This window comes from Homo sapiens, chromosome 18, assembly GCF_000001405.40.
Source record: "Homo sapiens chromosome 18, GRCh38.p14 Primary Assembly".
NCBI lineage: Eukaryota > Metazoa > Chordata > Mammalia > Primates > Hominidae > Homo > Homo sapiens.
In genome coordinates, this window is record NC_000018.10 from 36169288 (window position 1) to 36188727 (window position 19440).

Here is a 19440-nt window from a genome sequence, read left to right on the forward strand (position 1 = left end):
ATTTCATGAGGGGTATCATCTAGGTCAGGTTTTCCTCATAGCTGAGTAGATTCCCTGAGCAATGGACAGTGTAGAGGAAGAGCTAGAAAGCTGATAAGTTCTTTTTTTTTTTTTTTGAGACGGAGTTTCACTCTTGTTGCTCAGGCTGGAGTGCAGTGGCACGATCTCGGCTCACTGCAACCTCTGCCTGCTAGGTTCAAGCGATTCTCCTGCCTTAGCCTCCCTAGCAGCTGGGATTACAGGCACCCGCCACCACGCCCAGCTTATTTTTTGTATTTTTAGTAGAGACGGGGTTTCACTATGTTGGCCAGGCTGGTCTTGAACTCCTGACCTCAGGTGATCCACCCACCTCGGCCTCCCAGAATGCTGGGATTACAGGCATGAGCCACCGCGCCCAGCCCAAAAGCTGATTAGTTCTTAAGCATTTTGTGGTAGCTTCTTGGGGAAGTGCATGAGCCTACTGATGGGACTCCACTGGATCAGAACCAATTTGTGAGTATAGAAGGCATGTTAGACACCTCTCTGTGGTCTCTGGGCAGGAACGCTTTGTCTTTGGACCAAGGTGAGCTCTCGGAGACGCATGTCTGCTGTACCGTGCCTTCTTTCTGATGCTTGAAATGCTCTCAAGTCCTGGCACACCATACACGAATGTAATGATGCATTTTTTAAAATACCAGAGCAAATACTTTGTTTTATCTTTGCCGATGAAACTGTAGTACATGGCTAGAAACCTTGCAAAGAGAAGGCTTTACAGTGTGTGATCTGTCTGTATTAGGTGGTTGTCTGGGGTGAGTGCGACTCCACTGATGACTGTATTGAGCACAACATTGGCCCCTGCTCCTCAGTCCTGGACGTGGGTGGGGCTGTGACAGCTGTCAGCGTCTGCCCAGTGCTCCACCCTTCTCAACGGTCAGTCTCTGTGTGGGGCTTAGTTTTAAGAGGACCACTTGGTTTCTTAATATGTAGCCCTCATGTCATTTCATTTGTGAATTCTCCTAGCCTCTGAGTTACTGTCTTTTTTTTCTTTTTTTTTTTTTGTTTTGAGATGGAGTCTCACTCTGTCGCCCAGGCTGGAATGCAGTGGCGTGATCTCTGCTCACTGCAACCTCTGCCTTCTGAGTTTAAGCGATTCTCCTGCCTCAGCCTCCCAAGTAGGTGGGATTACAGGCATGCGCCGTCACGCCTGGCTCCTTTTTTTATATTTTTAATAGAGATGGGGTTTCACCATGTTGGTCAGGCAGGTCTTAATCTCCTGACCTCAAGTGATCCATCTGCCTCGTCCTCCCAAAGTGCTGGGATTACAGGCGTATGCCACCGTGCCTGGCCTGAGTTACTGTCTTTTGCAAAATGCTTATGTTTCTCATAATAATTTTTAAATTGATAGAACCTAATGATTCAGAATGTAAAATACAGGTTAGGAATGGGGCTCAAAGATTCTTACTTCACCAAATCTAGGACTATAATACTTTCTCTGTAACAAGCATCTTCAGTGGAACAAGGGTCCCTACAGCCAGCTGGGGAAACACTGGCTCATGGGCCTTGCCAGCAGAGGACACAGATAAATCTGTGTGCAGCCCCTGTAAAGAGGAGGCTCCTTGAGGACACAGGAGAGCAGTGCAGCATGTCCTGGGCTGATGCCTGCAGAGTCTTTTGTAAGGCAGGGACAGTTGGGACACTGTGAAGAACTACTTTAGAGCAATGACGAAGATAACAATTTCATGCTAAGTTAATCACTGTTGTCCCCCTCCCTTAAAAACAGATACGTGGTTGCAGTAGGATTGGAGTGTGGAAAGATTTGCTTATATACCTGGAAAAAGACTGATCAAGTTCCAGAAATAAATGACTGGACCCACTGTGTAGAAACAAGTCAAAGGTATTTCTTTCCTATTTTTGTTTCCATCAGATTAACTAGAAATTGTGGGGTCTTTCATGGCAAATTTTATGCCACATTTTCATGGAGAGGGACATATATCTGTATTCGTCGTGTCTACCACTTTGTTTTGTGGTAATCTGAAATTGATACATGTGGTAATCTGAAATTGATATATTGCACTTGATTTTTAAAAGTTTGCTTGACCAAATTGCTTGCATGCATAATATTATTTTTATAAACAACCATTTGAGATGAAAGTGATTTCCATAATGGTGTGTTGTAGAATTTGACTACAGTAGATTCTTAATTTGATTCAAAATGTTTGTGATTTTTAAAAATATTCTGGATTGCACTTTGGTAGTCGTATCCTTATGATTGAGCCCTTTACCTCAAAAGATCCTATAGTGGAGCTTTCAGGCATAGCAAGGCTCATGCCCTGGGCCTCATGCATTTGCCACCTGAGCTGGCATAGAGCACCTGCTGTTTACAACCTCCTCCCCATCCCACCCACCTAGACAGTAGGGATCACTTTTAATCTACCCTTTTACAGGTTTTATTCTTTTTGTGTGTGTGTGAGACAGGGTCTCACTCTGTCACCTAGGCTAGAGTGCAGTGGCAAGATCCCAGCTCACTGCAACCTCCGCCTCCCAGGCTCAATCAGTCTTCCTACCTCAGCCTCCCAAATAGCTGGGACTACAGACACGCACCACCATGCCAGGCTAATTTTTTTTGTATTTTTAGTAGAGACGGGGTTTCATTGTGTTGGCCAGGCTGGTCTCCATATCCTGGGCTCAAGCAATCCTCCTGTCTTGGCCTCCCAAAGTGCTGGAGTTACAGGCATGGGCCACTGTGCCTGGCCCACATTTTATTCTTTAAAAATGCCTAAATGTGGCTGGGTGTGTTGGCTCATGGTCTCTACCAGTGAGACCCCTGGTCTCTACCAAAAATAAAAGAAATTAGCCAGGTGTGATGGTGCATGACTGTGGGTCCCAGCTACTTGGGAGGGTGAAGTGGGAGGATCACTTGAGCCCAGGAGGTTGAGGCTGCAGCAAGCCATAATCACACCATTGCACTCCAGCCTGGGTGAGTGAGAGCCTGTCCCCCCCAAAAAAGTATAAACGTTCAGAAAGCTACTAATATCATTCTGTGTTATATTTTCTTAGGCTTTTTCAACCTTCGTATATCTGTACTGTTGAAAATACAATTTCAAATAGCAATTTCAAATGACAATATGATGAGGGTGAGTGCTTAATGGAGAGAGATTTGTGAGCAATGTCTTAAGATATTTCATCCAGCAGATCTTGTCTCCATGTCAGCCAAGCATGTTAGTGCTCATTATAATTATATTTATTAAAATGAGATATTGCCATGCCCCCATGGCTTCTCTCCTGCCTCTCTGGGCTGGGTTTAGCAGTTGAACTAGTTTGTGCTGTTGGCTTGCTGAAGAGGGAAGAAGTCTGTTGAAATTCCATGCTTCAGGCATTTGAAATTTTCTCTCTTCCTGGGCACCCTTTCCTTCCACTTTGCCTGCCCACAGTGCTCCCTTCACCTCTAACCTGGTGTGAAGACCTCTTCAATGGCCACCATGTGGGACACTGGTGGGAAGCCCCTTAGAAAGTGCAGGAAGGGAACACGTATAGAATTTGAGTTTTTTGTCTGAAGGGGTTGTTTTTTTCTTTGGTCATTATGGTGACTTAGGATTTGCAAGATGGAACTAATGCGTGACTTAACATATATTATTTGGATTGCTAATATTTCAGTTACCAAGTTCCAAGTACCTTTCAAATGAAAGCTTTTGCTAGTAATAAGATTTACAGAGGTAATATAAGCAAACACTACCCTTTAGGTTGGTTTGCCAAACTCCCTATCTTCTTAAATATGACATGTTAATATTCTGGATTTAAAGGACATTACCAAAAAAAGAAACCCACTATCTCAAAGCTTACATAGCCAAACAAGTATGTTCCTCAAAGTAGCTCCCTTGGAAAGAGTTATACCACATATGTTTATTTCCGTGATTTCACTACTTCAAATCCTTCTTTTAATGAAATGAGATAACTCTAATCCATAATAATTGAGATTCCAGTGATGTTGCTATCACTTAAAATGTTCTTGGAACTTCTCTGTAGGAATTGTGTTCAGAACTAGCTTACTAATGATGCAAGAAAACAAATTATAATGCCTTTTATAATATTACCTGTTTCAATCATTTCCTCTTTTTAAAGCTTGCCATTTATATCTATTAAGCTTGCCATTTATATTTATTATAAAGCTTACTTCCAGGTGCTTTCAACAGTCAGATTCATCCTCAAAGGAACATGAGCTATCACTGAGAGTACTCAAATCATAGTCTGCATAATATGGAAGCATTTTCTCTAGAATAATTTCAGAAAACAGTTGAGGCACAGCAGTCAGAGTGACTATTTGTAAGGGCACGCAGTCATCTTGTTGCATAGGTTCAGGAGGACTGATTTTTAAAATGGGTTTCGTGACTTCATTCTTCCCTTTTAATCATGAGAATGCATCTGGTGACAGGGACTGTCAGCAAATGAAAGTGTAATGTGTGTGCTCTGGTATTGTTTTCAGTGTTTATTGCCCTAAAACCTACTTAGGTTTTTCACTTTATTCCTTTTTGGTTTGGGAAGCTAATTTGCAGGTTAAATTTATAGAAGATGTTGTATTTTCATAGAGATTTATTCCTAACATACGTTGGTAACACTCTGGGTCTGCCTTTTTAAAGGGCTGGGGAGGTAGGGGGTAGGGAGCATTAATACGATGGTCTTGCCCAAGGTCACGCAGTTAGAGGTCACACTGGAGACCAAGACTCTTTCATTGTGCAGTACATTAAATCTGTCATTGTCTTTCTTTACCCAGTAGTAAAAATGCAATTCCATCCACCTCACAGGGATGTCAAAATAGTAAAATAATCTAGAATATATTGTAAAGTTAAAATTGTTATAAATTTAGTAATGTTATCTAAAAGACTAACTTGAATATCCATTTCATGAAATTCCATTGATCATTAAAACAACATTCATTTAAAAAAATTTTATTTTTTGTTTTTTTTTAAACAACATTTGACAGAGATTCATTGTCTGTGTCTTGCTCATTTTGGTGATGTTATTGCCAGTGAGTAAGATTAAAATTTAGTCTTGCAGTTTTAAGTAAATATAGTAAAATATTTTCCAGGTTAAAATAAAATGGCTAAAATGTTAATGATGCGATTTTAAAACCTGTACATTTCAATTTTCAGGTTTTAACTTCCATTCATGTTTACACCATTAATTGGAAAAACATTTCATGATTTCTCTATCTTTGTTTTAGCCAAAGTCATACACTGGCTATCAGAAAATTATGCTGGAAGAATTGCAGTGGAAAAACTGAACAGAAGGAAGCAGAAGGTGCTGAGTGGTTACACTTTGCAAGCTGTGGTGAAGATCACACTGTGAAGATACACAGAGTCAATAAATGTGCACTGTAATGGACTTAATAACTACATGCTTGCAGTCACTGGTATCTTAAAATATTATCATGTAAACAGGTCATCTTTACCTTCATAACTGAATTGAGTTTCTGGGTTTTTTTTTTTTTTGAGATGGAGTCTTGCTTTGTCACAACCTCCACCTCCCAGGTTCAAGCGATTCTCTTTCTTCAGCCTCCTGAGTAGCTGGGACTAGAGGCACACCACCAATTCCGGCTAATTTTTGTATTTTTAGTAGAGACTGGGTTTCACCGTTGGCCAGGCGGGTCTCAAACTCCTCGTCTCAGGTGATCTGCTTGCCTCGGCCTCCCAAAGTGCTGGGATTACAGGCGTGAGCCACTGCGCCCAGCCTGAGTTTCATTTTTTAAGTCACATAGCAGTAGTCCTTATTTCAGTGCTAGACCCTTTGAAATGCGATGAAAGCTATATGGACCCTTCGCTTTGTTATATAACATATGCACACATACCCAGAATTTTGCACATATGTTCAGAGATTCCTAGACCTGCAGACCTGCCTCTGTGTGTCCCAATTTAAGAACCTCTGTTCTTTCTTCATGACTGGATTTGCCCAATTTTGTGTTATTTTGGGACTTAATTTGTCCCTCTTTGGGACATTTCCTTATTTATTGCCCTCTTCAGAGAGTAGATGTAGAAAATAAAGAGAGGAAACCTAGATTACTTAATTTTATTTTAACATTTTCTATAGATAGCATACCACGCCAAGTGTGCTCTGTCTTGATCCCCTTCTTTCTAGCATCTGCCAGACATTGTAGAGTTTCGCAAGCAGTTGTAGGTTTGAGCTGCAGCCAGTCATTTCTTTTATTCTTTAAAAGTACATAGATTTGTCTTTTTAGGGCTTTACTGAAAGTAAAATATCCTGACATTTAAACTGACAGATGTAGGAGGTAAAAAATAGAGTTCTGAAACATTTGAATTTATGTGACAGCTGAAGTCACGAGATGAGGGATATATGTCCCCCAGGGAGGATGCAGAAAGAAGAAAAGGGTACTGGAAACAGCATGTCAGTGGTGCCAGCTGAGGGCTGGAGGCAGCCAGGAGAGTTGGGAGCCTGGGTGCTGGGTGGAGAGAGGTTAACAGGGAAGACATGGGAAGTATTGTGAAGGCTGGTGTGAGCAGGGGACTACTCCAGCCCTGTTGGAACATAGAGCCATTTGGCAGATTGACAATGCAGTGACAGCTGTATATAATAAATGTGTTGAAAGGAGGAAGGTGAGGATTTTCTTGGTGGGAGTTTATGCTGTTATTTAACATATTTTGCTTCCAAAGGGGTTAAGATGTTTTACCTAAATGGAGGTTTCTAGGTCAGTGCTATACAATATTTCTAATCTGTGTTTTATAGTGTGAGCTACATATGTAATTTTAAAATTTTCAAGTAGCCACATAATAAAGGAAACAGGTGAAATTTAATGACATATTTCCTTTAATACGGTATATCCAAAATATTATTATGTCAACCTATAATCAGTATAAAAACCTGTTACTGAAATATTTTATAGGGCCCATCTCAGTTCAGACTAGCCACATTTAAGTGCTTCATAGCCACATGTGGCTCATGGCCATCCATATTTGGACAATGTACTTTAGACTATTGCATCTGTATACTCTTGTGCCGTCAGCTGGGGGGTGGGGTGTGTGTGCGTGTATACCAAGGCAGTGAGCATCTGAGCTTTGAACCTCAAAGACCAAAATGCCCTGCCCATTTTCCTGCTTATCAGCTGAGGAATCTTTACCCACATTGACACATGGGCTTGTTCTGACCCAAGTGCATGCAGGCTTCCAGAGCAGATTCAGAGGCCTAACTTAGTCCTTTAGCTTTCCTCCCAGCACAGAACTCCCAAGGTTATCTGCAAGTAGGCCTTGCCTAGAGAGACTGAGTTTTCAAGTTGTCAGTTTTCCCAAATTGTCCTCAAGCATCTTCCTCTGGAATCACCTTACTGTTTAGTAAACATTCAGAGGACTTGCTACACATCTGGGCAGTCTGCATTGTAATTCATATGTGTTTACACATTTGTGTCTTCATCTGCTAAAGCACCTTTGAACCATATTGTAATTCATAATATCTGAAGCAATTATTATGAATTGTAGTAATTCATAATATTGAAGCGATTCATAATATCTGAAGCAATCCCCAGATACGGGTTAGGCATGGCCCTGCTCTGAGCAGGATGGCAAAAGTGGCAGTCCGTGACGCAGCCCTTGTTACCCCAGGCTATTACTAAATGGTGGTGGTGGTTTTATCTTAATTAAAATGACATCACCAACAATGGGCCCTTTCCTGTCTGCCAGGAAAAGTTTTCTGTAGTGACGCACGTGTTGTGTGTGTATGTGTGCGTTTGAGGCTATATTACTCATTGCTACGGCAGTTCAAAATGACTTGGAAAAAAACAATGAACGCTGGTCATTGATATGTATACTGACATGTTTGAGGGAAGTTACTGTGGTCTGTAACTTATGAAATACATAAAAAATATGATGGGTGGAGTGACGGACACATGGACAGATATGAAGCAAGCACTGTAAAATATTAGTGGTAGTTTTTGTATGCCCATACTCACGGCACCATTATTCACAGTAGCTAAGAGATGGAAGCAATATGTGCCCATCAGTGGGTGAATGATCAACAAAATGTGGTATATTCATACAGTGGAATATTATTCAGCCTCTAAAAGGAAGATACGCTGACATGTGCTGCAACATGGATGAATCTTGAGGACATGATGCTAAGTGAAGTAAGCCAGTCACTGGAAGACAAATACTCTATGCTTCCATTTATGTGAAGTATCTAGAGCAGTCAAATGCATAGAAACAAGTAGAATGGTAGTTGCCAAGGACTGGGGGAGGAGGAAATGAGGAGTTGTTTAATGGGTATAGTGTTTCAGTTTTGCAAGATAAAAAGTCCTGTGGATTGGTTGCACAGTTAAGTTATGTGAATGCTGTATGCCAACTCAACTGTACACTCTAAAATGGTTAAGATGGTAAATCTTATCTTTATTTTACCACAGTTTTTTTTAAAGCATGGTAAACACCATTTCCCAGGATGTAAATCGGTACTAAAAAAAAAGTGCTCCAAAGTAAGATATATTTGGGAAACACAGGGATAACTAAGGTTAGATAGGTGTTCTTTATTGCAGGAATTCTAAGAGCATTTAACAAATTAATTTACACTGGGAATTTTCAGTGTGGAGGGTCTGGCTCATAGCATTTCACAAACATTATACTTCAGAGTCCCAAAGCCTTTAAATAAAATGTTAATGGTAGAAACTCCTTAAGGGGTGTTCACTGTACAATTCTTTCAACTTTTCTGCATGCTGGGAGTTTTTTTGGTAACAACGTGTTGGGGAAAATGGCCTTGGAATATTTCATTCAAATTGGAGCCAAGCTAACACAAAGCTGTTGCTGCTAGTGGGAACAGCCCTGATGTCCATGTAACAAGCTGCCCTCCCCAACTCCCTCCTTCCTGTTTCTCCCTCCTCGGCACCCACTTCTAGGATTAACAGGCAGGGAGACGGGAGAGCCCAGCTCTGGGTACAGTTGGGCCACAGCAGAAGGAGGGCCAGGGTAGAGGTTTGGGCCTTGGCTCTGATGCTTGAACATAAACACACCTAGTCAGAAGTACATCAGTACAAAGTGGGCCCTACAAAATTATAGGGTCAGAAAACAGGTAAGTGGTTACCAGGGGCTGGGAATGGGGAGAGGAGTGACTACAGAGGGACCTAGATTCTTCAACAAATACATTACAAGAGGAAAAGGGAAGGGAAGGGAAGCCTGGAGATTGAAAGATACTTGAGACGTGTGAATCCAGTGCAATGTATGAACCTTGTTTGCCTCTTGATCTGAACTAGCCAATCAATCTTGTAAAAATGTGCTTAAGGGACAAAGCAAATTTGAACTCTGGCTGGATATTTGATGATATTAAGGAAACAACATTTAAACATATGACAGTGGGGCTATGGTTATGATTGGTTTTGTTTTTTTTTTCTCTAGAGACTGGGTTTTGCAGTGTTACCTAAGCTGGTCTTGAACTCCTGGGCTCAAGCAGTTCTCCCACCTCAGCCTTGGTTTAAGAAAAAAAAAAAAAAAGTTCTCTTGAATCATAATTTCAGTATTTATGGATGAAATCAATTTATGTCTTGGGTTGTTTCATAATGATTGTGTGTGTGTCAAGGACTAGATGGGTTTTAGATGTGTGGATTATTAATGAAGCTGGGCAGTGTTGGGGTGGTCATACTATTCTAATTTTTTAATATACTTAAAATTTCCTTATAAGAATTGTTTAGAAAGAATGAGCATATCCATAAGTTAAATACAAAAATTGTTACATTGTGAGGAGTTCTTCCCCTTCTAGCATGTAGTGGATGGTCCAGTATTAAGGCTCTGCCATGCTTAAACAAGAGACTGGCACTCCAAGGACAATGAGGCTGAGGCCAGAAGAGAGACAGCGTGTTGGATGGCTGCATGTGGTTGGTGGATAGAGGACTCTGAGCCCCACTCTGGTGGACTCAGAGATCTGGGACCCGGGCCGGGCGTGGTGGCTCATGCCTGTAATCCCAGCAATTTGGGAGGCTGAGGCGGGTGGATCACTTGAGGTCAGGAGTTCGAGACCAGCCTGGCCAACATGGTGAAACCCCATCTCTACTAAAAATACAAAAAAAAAAAAAAAATTAGTCGGGCATGGTGGTGGGCGCCTGTAATCCCAGATGTTCCAGAGGCTGAGGCAGGAGAACCGCTTGAACCCAGGAGGAGGAGGAGGTTGCAGTGGGCCGAGATCGAGCCACTGCACTCCAGCCTGGGCAACAGAGTGAGACTCCATCTCAAAAAAAAAAAAAAAAAAAAAAAAAATCTGGGACCCAGTACTGAGTGAAGACACCAGAGTGAAGGAGAGAGGCCATGCTGTGTCCGAGAAGCTCCTACTGGGGTGGAAGGGACAGCTCCACAAAGGCTGCTCTTGCAGGGGCTCTCCTGCAGCAAGGTGCCTGCTGACTGTCCCCAGACTGTCTCCCGACACAGAGGGATGCAAAGGCAGCCTCTTCCTGCTCAGTGGAATAGGGAAATTATATCACCTTTCACTTCCCACTCTCACTTCTGCCCCTGCTACCCTTAGTCTTTGGCTTTTGCTGACATTTTCCCCTCTTATCTTTTCTCCTGACCAAGTTCTAGGTATTTCATAGGGCAGTCTAGGTGAGGGTTGGAACCCCAATGAGTTGGGCAACAGAAACCCAGCTCACACTGGCTGTCACTGTGGGCAAGCTGTTCCCCTCATCTCTAAAAGTGGAGATGAGATTAGTGTATGAGTCTGGCTTCCATTCAACTGTGTGTGAAAAAAAATTGTAAAATTTTCTTTCTGGTTTACGCAAGTTAAAAGTTTATTTCTCTCATATGAAAGGAGTCAAGGCAGACAGACCAGGATGGGGAGGGAGATGTCTACAGGGTCAAGGACCCAGGCTCTTATTTCGCTGTCTGACGTCCTTAGTATGAGGCTTTCACCTTCCAGGATGGCTGCTTGGCCTCCTGCCATGGTCTTTGCGTTCCAGCCAGCAAAGAGGAAGAAGGCATGAAGAAAGGCCTGCCCCTGACTTTAAAAACATTTCTTGGAAGTCCCATACTATTTTGCTTAATCTCCTCGGGCAGAATTTAGTGTTGTGGCCATACCGAGCTTCAGGAGAAGCTGGGAAATTAAATCTTTATTGCAGATGCCCATGTGCTCAGCAGAGAACTGGGGTGCTTCATTCTGGAAGAAAGGGAGAACAACAGTAACCAGTGTGTAGGATTGTTCTGAGAATTAAATGAGCCAATATATGAAAAACACTAGTTTGGTCCCTGGGATATAAATAAGACAGCAGTAATTTGTATCTGGTACTATTATGATTAAATAAAGCTCTGCTCGTGTCAACTCCATAGAGCCTTTGGTAAACCCCTCAAGTATTCTTTTTTGTTTTTCCTCTGAATTCCGGAGTATTTTATTCCAGTTTTGTTTTATGGCACTTGTCACCTTATATCTTCTATTTTTGTGTATGTTTTATGCTGTGTCAGGTAGATGCCTTCTATTGTAAGGAAGTTCATCTCAAACACAAAGGAATTACTGGCTCATATGACTGAGAAAAATTCAGTGGTGGGATAGGCTTCAGGTGCAGTTTGATATGGGCTCTGCCTTCCTTTCTCTAGTTTGCTTAGCTCTGCCCTTTCCATGGCAGCCTTCTTCTTTTGTTATTATTTGAGACTGAGTTTCACTCTTGTTGCCCAGGCTGGAGTGCAGTGGCGTGATCTCGGCTCACTGCAACCTCCAACTCCTGGGTTCAAGTGATTCTCCTGCCTCAGCCCCCTGAATAGCTGGGATTACAGGCACATGCCAACACTCCTGGCTAATTTTTGTATTTTTAGTAGAGACGGGGTTTCACCATGTTGGCCAGGCTAGTCCTGAACTCCTGACCTCAGGTGATCCACCCACCTCAGCTTCCCAAAGTGCTGGGATTACAGGCATGAGCCACTGGGCCTGGCCCGTTATTATTTTTAATAGAGGCAGGGCCTTACTATGTTGCCCAAGCTGGTCTCAAACTCCTGGGCTCAAGCCATCCTCCTGTCTTGGCCTCCCGAAGTGCTGGGATTACAGGCATGAGCCACTGGGCCTGGCCCGTTATTATTTTTAATAGAGACAGGGCCTTACTATGTTGCCCAAGCTGGTCTCAAACTCCTGGGCTCAAGCCATCCTCCTGTCTTGGCCTCCCGAAGTGCTGGGATTATAGGGGTGGGCCACCATGCCTGGCCACATGGCAGCTTTCCCCTGAGGCCGTTCTCCCTCATTGCCGTAAGAGGAATGCAAACAGCCCCTACATTACTTTTTTCCTTGTTAGTATCAAAGGAAATAACTCTTAGCATTAAGTCTCTAACTTTACTCTGACTGGACCATTCCTCAGCTAATCACAGTGGGCAGGGGAAAGCCGCATGTTAAGTGGCTTGGGCCTGCCCATCTGATGTAACAAGCTGTGAGATCACCTGTGCTGGCCTAGAGGCAGAGTAGGTCCCAGTGAGATCACATAGCTGCTCTAACGTGGGGTGGTTCTCCAAAGCAAAATCAGAGGGGCCAATGGATACAGGATGGGCAACCAATGCAAGCCCCCTATACGAACCTGCTAAAGCCTAAACACCTGCGCATCAGATGGTTTTCCTGTTGTCCACAGCATCCCTGAATTCAGCAAATATGTATTGCCACATATTTGCTGAATTCAGGGATGAATGAGTTTGATAATGCTGATGGCTGGTGGAGGAAGTATTCTCAAATGTAATCTGCCAGTCGGTAAATAGAATATCTGAGATTCCTGTCTTGGTGGTTAAAGGGGTAGGGGGCAAAGAGTAGGAGGGAGGTGCTAGCACAGAAGGGACCAAGAAGGGGCTGGCCTGGCCCAGTGGACCTGCTCATGAATGAACATGGGAGAAGCCGAGCCCCCAGGAAGACAGCGCCAGGAAGATTGCTGCTCTGGGCCCTTTGCCCTCTCAGTCCTGTGGTCTACCTAGTATTGGTGGGTTTGGTTGTTTCAAACATTAGATATAATGGAGCCTTGTTCCCAATCATTTCATGATGTTGAACTGCCCTTTTCATTTCTATTCACAGGAAAGGTCTTGTGTCACTCTAGGGGAGGGAGCTTCCTGGGGTTTCTGATCTTTCTTTCCACTGCTCTCAGTTTCTACCAGGGCACTCTGCCAGTCTTTGGAGATAAACTTGCTCCAATGCTATGTCTGTCTCACTGCTTCCTTTGCCAGCCCTCTTCTGACTTCCTAGGTACCAGGATATCCAGGTCTGTGAGCTCTCATTTTTGGAAAAGTGTGCATTTCACTCTAGTAGGAAACACTTAAGTTAATTTCATTATCCAAACCAAATTCAGCCTTCTTGGACATACCTATCCCTATCCTGATATTTGTTGGGAAATTTGATTCCTCGTAATTGCAGCCCCCAACTGTAGGTTGGTGCAAAAGTAATTGCAGTTTTTGCCATTTTGATGCAAAAGCCGCAATTACTTTTGCAGCAACCTAATATCTTCCAGACTAGGAGGCCAAGGTTTTCAGGGGGCTCACCAGTGGGAAAACCTCTACCCTTACTCACCATTTAGGACTTGACCACTATAGTGGAGCTGCCATCCCCACCTGGATAATAGAGCTGTTCCTGCTTAGGCCACTGCATACCACCTACCCAACAAGTTTAACAATCTGTCCTAATTGTTTAACCCTTGTCCTAATAGGCCTTATGGCCTTAGATATTGCCAAGGTGCTCTCTTCTGGCTCTGTCCCCACTTCTCTAACTGAACTTTCCCACCTGTGGCATGAGACAGAGACCCTTTAAGTGCCACTGTCCCCAGGGTTCTGGCCTCTTTCCCTAAACACTTCAGAGCTCCTGAGATGACCTGTCCACAAGCCCCTCACATGACTCAAGTCTCCAACCCCAGACACTCTGTCCCTTTTGAGCCCTGAATCTCCACCGAGATGTCCTGACCGAGTTCCATATTGTCTCCCTATGCCTGAGACTCCCTCTGTCCACTCAGTCTCCCAATCTGACAGCACCAAGTCACCTTGGGCCAGTCCTTCGTCCCATTCATCCCTGAATTTCATCACTTCTGCACGATCTGGGCCTCAGACCAGGCCCTCACTGCTCTTCGCCAGGACTTTTGCCCAGCCTCTGACAGCAGGGCTGCCTGCAACCTCCCCACTCCCACCTCCCCCACTGCTGCCTGGGGTCTAAGCACACCCCGATCCAGCCACTCTCAGGAGGAGACTCTAGGGTGTTCATGTCCCTTTTAGACCAAGGCCAGCTTTCTCCTCTGTACCAGAAAGTCTGACCCCTCTTACTTCTCTCACTCCCCATCACACTTATCCCCACAGAGCTGCAGTCTGTGCTCCAGCTTCATTAAAAGTCCTGCATCTGGAATTCTCTGAGCCTTTTTGCAGCTCTAGACCTTTGAGTATGGAATGCTGCCTTCCTTCCCCCACCTCCTCCTCCAGGACCCTCTGGGCAGGTCTCCCAGCAGCCCCAGGTCTGGGAGGCTCTTTACCCCAAGCCTGGACCTTTGTGGGAAGGACTTTTCTCTAGCGCTCTGCAGCCTGGAGGGGTGACCTGACTATGAACCTATCTCCTTCCTCATCCCAGGAGCCTCTCAGGCACAGAGACTGCCTTGCTGACTGTTGTCTTCTCAGTGCCTACCATGTTTGCAGCAGGGCACAGCTGCCCAGTGAACACTGAATAAATGCCCCTGCCAAAAGCACTAGTAATTTTCAAGTGAATCTTCTAGTGTTTCAAGCCTGGACAGTTGCAAGAGGTTATAGCTGGTTTTCCTGCTCCCAATTCTCACAGGCTCATCCAGTCTGGTCATGGCCATTGGATAGTTCTACCTAAATCACTCATAGGGCACTTTCTAGTTCCAAAGCCTGCCTTTCCTTTGTTTGTCTACCACCAACTCCAAGCCTAACTCTGACAAGCACTCATTCATCTTCTGCTGAGTGAGTGAATGAATGAATGAATGAATGAATACATGAATGAATGCTTTGTATATAGTAGAGATTCTTGCAAGTGGAGCCCATTGCTAGGAGACACTGGGGGTGGGAGTTGTTAACCTGGGAGCAAGGGGATTTCGGGAAGCATCATCAGGAGGTAAGGAATCAGGCTCAGTGAGGTGCACCAGGGACTAAGATTCACACGGGGAGAGATTTAAAGTACAAAATTGAGGGCATCTCACCTGTCTGCCCAACTGGCTCATAGACACATAATTTTTCAAGTTCTTAGGTGAGAAAGGGTTGCAAGTGGGAGTTGGAAGAGCTGTTTTCCTACCTAGCTGTAAACTTTAGGTGCAGAAGCTGGCCTCTGGGGAACTCAGCATGGACCAGCTCAGGTTGCTTGGAAGCTCCAAGGCCAGCAGCTGGACCAGGTGAGAAGTGGCCATGGCAGCCTATAGCACAGGGCCCAGGAGATCACTCCTCCTCCCAGGTCAGACATTCCTTGGTGGGGATAGAGGTTCTGCTTAAGGCAGGGTGAGAGCGAGCAATCTGACTTCTGATAGTCTCTTTCTGGTAGGAGCGGCCCAGGGAATCTTGGTGAAATGCACCTAAGGGTGCCAATTAGAGGCCAAGACTCCCAGTGTTTCTCACATTCCCTACTCCTCCTCCCATCTTGACTGGCTCACTGCTATGGCCCACTTCAAAGGCTTCCTCCTTTGGGCTACCTTCCCTGGATATCTTGCTAGGAAGTAGCCGCTTCCTCTCTTTCAATTCTATACCTGCATCCTGAACCAGTGCTGCCTGGGCACTCAGCCCACATTGCCTTGTGGCTAGTGTAGGTTCATTTTCCTACTCAGCTGTAGGTGCTATCTTCACATCCACCCTCCCAAGCACACAGTGCCCTAGATGGGCATAGCCAACTGCTTTAAAGTATTTCTGGATTAATGGTAGATCCGTGATTTTTAATAACCTTCAGGAGTTCTGCACTGACTTGGCCTATTCCAATCCATCACTAGGCGAGCTTGTCTGAAGCAGCACCCCTGTGGACTGGTGGTTTGTTAGTTGGCTGTAGAACTCCTTGAGGAGAGGTTCTCCTTACATTTCCAGGGAAATGACCTAGGCCCTCCCTCCTCAGAGTGCCATTCGTGAATGGGGCATCAGCATCACCTGGGCTACTTAGAAACACAGAACCTCAAAGAGTCAGAACCTGCCTTTGAATAGGCTCTCTAGGGGATTCATGCAAATGAATGCCTGGAAACCCTGGCCTAGGGGAGACTCTCACCAGGAAGCAGGGCTTTAAAAGGATGGGTGAGGAGTGACACACTGAACAGCTGCTGGGAGGACCAACTCACCCCTCTCAACTTAGATGGGGAAACTGAGGCCCTGGGAACCACGGTGGCTCACACCAGAGAGTTAGCAAAACACACTTCCCTGCCTGGGCTCTGGAGACTGACTTCCCAGGTGCTAGCTTGTCTTCTAGCTGTGTGCCCGTGTGCAAGTTATTCTGCCTCTCTCTGCCTCAGCTTCCCCATCTGTAAGAGCCACCTCCTAGATCTGCATATTTAATCATTGAACGACCAGGACAGGTAAGAGTGTACACAGTGCAGTGCCTGGCACACAGTGAGGCCCTGTAACTAGCTCTTGTTATTAGTGCTGCCCAAAGCCACATTCACAGAAGACAGTCCAGTATCCAAAGTGCCTGCTTGAAGCATGGCCAGAAGGCAAGCAGATGGTGGGGTGGGCAGTGATGTCAATGAGCAAATGCCTGCATCCATCCATCAGTACATTAACTCCTCCTCGAACAACTATGGGTGTTTGTCGAGTAAGGTCCTGGACATTCAGCAGTGAGGGAGAGAGCGGGGGTGGTCAGTGGGCAGAGGCCACTGAGGAATATGGGTACCTGGGCATGGACCCTAGCGCTGCAGTCCACAGACCCCTGGGTCTCCGGCCAGGGGGAAATGAGCTCTTAGTGGCGGGTCTTTCTCTGGCCTGGTATCAGGGGCCTGGGCGGGAGAGCCAGGGCTGCGTGCTGCCTTCCCATGGCTCTCACGCTGGGCACCGGTATGCATCATGCATCAGCAAGGATCCTAGGGCATCTGCGGCCCATACCCTGGGTGGCAGCTGGCCTGGATGCAGCACAGGTTGAGCTCTTGGGGCATAGGCCTCCTTCCCACCTTGTCCCCCCGCTGTATGCCTCCAGGGCCTGTGGGCCGCCTGCACCTGGTCGCCGGCCTTGGGTTCTCCACCGAGCCTGCCTCTGAGTTATCTCCCCTGAGCCCCAGCACCTGCCGCCCATCCGCACTGTCCACCATCCCTGACATTCGATTCCCCCACGAGGCACCTCGCCTGTGCGTGCAGTACCTGTTTTGCTTCCACCCCATTCCCAGCAGCGGGTTCCGCACCTGGGATCGCACGTGAGATTTCCCCCCACCCCCCAACCGCATGCCTGGGCTCTACTACCTGCACCTGCCGCCCCACCCCTGCATCCCGCTCCGCACTTCCCGCGCATAGGTTTGGCCAGGCCCTCCCTATTGAGGCACCTGTTCTCCAAGACAGAGCCGCTGTGTCCCAGGTGCTCTGGGTGCAGGCGCGAGTGGGGATTGAAGGAGGCGCTCTTATTCCACTCTGTCCGGGACAGGGGCGGCTTTGTCCTAGGGCACTCTTGCTTTAATAGAGAGGGCCCGGCCACACCCACGTGCGGGAAGTGCGGGGCGGGATGCAGGGTTGGGGAGGCAAGGGCAGGAAGTAGGGCCCAGGACGCGGTTGGGAGGGCGGGGAAGCTCAGCTCACTTGGATCCCAGCTGCAGGGCCCGCTCCGGGGGAAGCCCCCGAGCTTCCCGGTTCCGAAAGTGTGCAGCCACTGAGAATTTATTAGCCTCGTGGATCCCTAATCTTTCCCCTTTTCTACCCTTTGGTCAGCCGCATTCTAACAAACGGCAAGCACACGCCCCGCTGGGTAGCAGCAACCCGAGAACGCCCCCACCCCCGCCCCCGCCAGACGCCGGTTCCCGCTTGAGAGGGTGAGGGTCCCGAGACCCCTGCGAGGAGGAGGGTCGCGGGGTTCCAGGATGCCGATGCCAAGCAGGAAAGATCACCTCGTTGCTTCTTCCACCGGCCTCTCCGCGAGACATAGCTAAACTTGAACTTGGCATTCCAAGGGTCTGGAAACATCTTCGTGGGACCCATCGAGAGGTTGTTTAAAGACTGGCACCCGCTCCCGCGCCCAGGTGGGGAAAGGGCTGGCCAGAAGTGAAAGTCCGGTCGGGGCGCCACACCTAGGCTGCGGATTCCGAGAGACTGGGAGGCTGGAGGCCTGGGAGGCGTGGCGGGGGCGGAGTCGCCGGGGGCCGGCTTCGCGCACTTCCCGGGCCCGGCCGGCCTGGATGGACTAGCCGGGGCCATGGCCGGCGCGGCGGCGGAGTCAGGGCGGGAGCTGTGGACCTTCGCGGGTTCCCGGGACCCGAGCGCACCGCGGCTAGCCTACGGCTACGGCCCGGGCAGCCTGCGCGAGCTGCGGGCGCGCGAGTTCAGCCGCCTGGCAGGTGAGGCGGGCGGGCAGGCTTGGGGGACACGAGGTTTCTGGAACCGACGTGGACGGATCTTTTGCTCCTAGTGAGAGCGGCGCTACCTCATTCGGGCGCATTTTGAATCGAAACTCCAGGAGGGACGTGTCCACGCGTCCTCCTAGTAGACACGGCTCCCTGAGGTCCCACCTGCAGCCCCAAGGCTTCTTGCTACTCTTACTCTTCCGACTTTCCGGTGGGCAGGACCAACCTAGCCGTCTTCCCCTTTTCCCGCCCTCCGCGAGCGGGGCTTAGGATGGTTCTTGCCCTCTCTTGCGGGAGACCCCTCACTGTAAAGGGCCTGCTGGGGCCGGGGTTGCAAAAGACAGCATGTCCAGCGGCCGTGACCCTTCGGATGTCCTCCCGAGGTAGGAGCGGTGCGTGGACCGCCAGCGCCCGGGCTGGGACAGCACCTCTGACGGCGCGCCAGGTTGGGACCGGGAGGCCAAGGCCTCTTGGCCGGGGCCTCCCGAGGCTGCGCTCTGCAGACTCCTCTGGGATAGCCTGTATTCAGCTTTGATTTTCGAAACCTCATTTTCCTTACTCTTACAGCGTCAGAACAATCCCTCTGAGCTCCAGTTCTCTGGGGGACTAGAAGAATTAGCAAACAGTGCAATTTCACCTTTAAGAACAGGGCGAGCCTGTGAATTAGACAACACCAAGATCACATCGTGCCTTTCCTCAGAGCGGAACAGGCTGATGAAATTGCAAATCAAGCTCCATCTGGCCTTGGCCGACCCAGCCCTCTGCTGCCAGGGCCCAAGTTCGTGACTCATCCCTCTGCCAGGGACTTTGGGTGCAGGGCTTCATCAAGCCCCAGGGCCGCGTGCCGGATGGTCAAGGAGGGTGTGCAGGTGAAGTGGGCACGTCTTGGCACAGGGCACCGGGGTTTGAGTGTATCTGCTCTGTCGCGATGAACAACTGGTGACTGCTCCCCTTCTGGGGGCAGAACAGCAACCATGACTTAGGTTTCACTACTCGGGTAGCTGATTTCAGCGCTTCGGGTCACTTCCTGGTGTTGTGGA

The 19440-nt window shown here is 47.2% G+C and overlaps 2 protein-coding genes and 1 long non-coding RNA gene across 17 annotated transcripts in view, besides 4 other annotated features; 2 read left to right on the forward strand and 1 right to left on the reverse strand.

Annotated features, from left to right (window-relative positions):
* The window catches only part of ELP2 (elongator acetyltransferase complex subunit 2), a 50659-nt gene extending 39389 nt beyond the window's left edge, over positions 1–11270 (forward strand). For 13 of the 15 annotated variants that reach the window (NR_040110.3, NR_136898.2, NR_136897.2 and 10 more), the window contains 3 exons: positions 776–909; positions 1760–1873; positions 5198–11270. Coding sequence is in view for 11 of the 15 variants with exons in the window: in NM_001242875.3 (NP_001229804.1) it covers positions 776–909; positions 1760–1873; positions 5198–5354 (405 nt within the window). In the remaining 4 variants the exon portion in view is untranslated. Of the gene's footprint in view, positions 1–775; positions 910–1759; positions 1874–5197 lie in introns of those variants that run through there. The other 2 variants (NR_137173.2, XM_047437610.1) reach the window with 2 other exon arrangements.
* Positions 10714–18148, reverse strand: COSMOC (cell fate and sterol metabolism associated divergent transcript of MOCOS). The gene is made up of 2 exons (NR_134605.1): positions 17948–18148; positions 10714–11103 (listed from the first exon to the last, which is right to left on the reverse strand). It is a non-coding gene; the product is annotated as a cell fate and sterol metabolism associated divergent transcript of MOCOS (long non-coding RNA).
* Positions 16432–17254: an enhancer, noted in NCBI's record as "H3K27ac-H3K4me1 hESC enhancer chr18:33765682-33766504 (GRCh37/hg19 assembly coordinates)". NCBI's record gives its function as "activates a minimal SCP1, AML or CMV promoter by ChIP-STARR-seq in primed H9 embryonic stem cells {active_cell/tissue: H9 hESC(primed)}" and the evidence as "EXISTENCE:reporter gene assay evidence [ECO:0000049][PMID:30033119]".
* Positions 18014–18277: a silencer, noted in NCBI's record as "fragment chr18:33767264-33767527 (GRCh37/hg19 assembly coordinates)". NCBI's record gives its function as "represses an EF-1alpha promoter that drives an FKBP-Casp9 reporter gene in an ReSE screen in K562 erythroleukemia cells {active_cell/tissue: K562}" and the evidence as "EXISTENCE:reporter gene assay evidence [ECO:0000049][PMID:32094911]".
* Positions 18014–18312: a biological region, named in NCBI's record as "ReSE screen-validated silencer GRCh37_chr18:33767264-33767527".
* Positions 18123–18312: a silencer, noted in NCBI's record as "silent region_9402". NCBI's record gives its function as "represses an Ori minimal core promoter by ATAC-STARR-seq in GM12878 lymphoblastoid cells {active_cell/tissue: GM12878}" and the evidence as "EXISTENCE:reporter gene assay evidence [ECO:0000049][PMID:35858748]".
* Positions 18210–19440, forward strand: part of MOCOS (molybdenum cofactor sulfurase) — an 84661-nt gene continuing 83430 nt past the window's right edge. Inside the window, exon 1 of the mRNA NM_017947.4 lies at positions 18210–18394. Within this exon, the coding sequence (NP_060417.4) occupies positions 18253–18394 (142 nt within the window). The 5' untranslated portion in view covers positions 18210–18252. The remainder of the gene's footprint in view (positions 18395–19440) is intronic.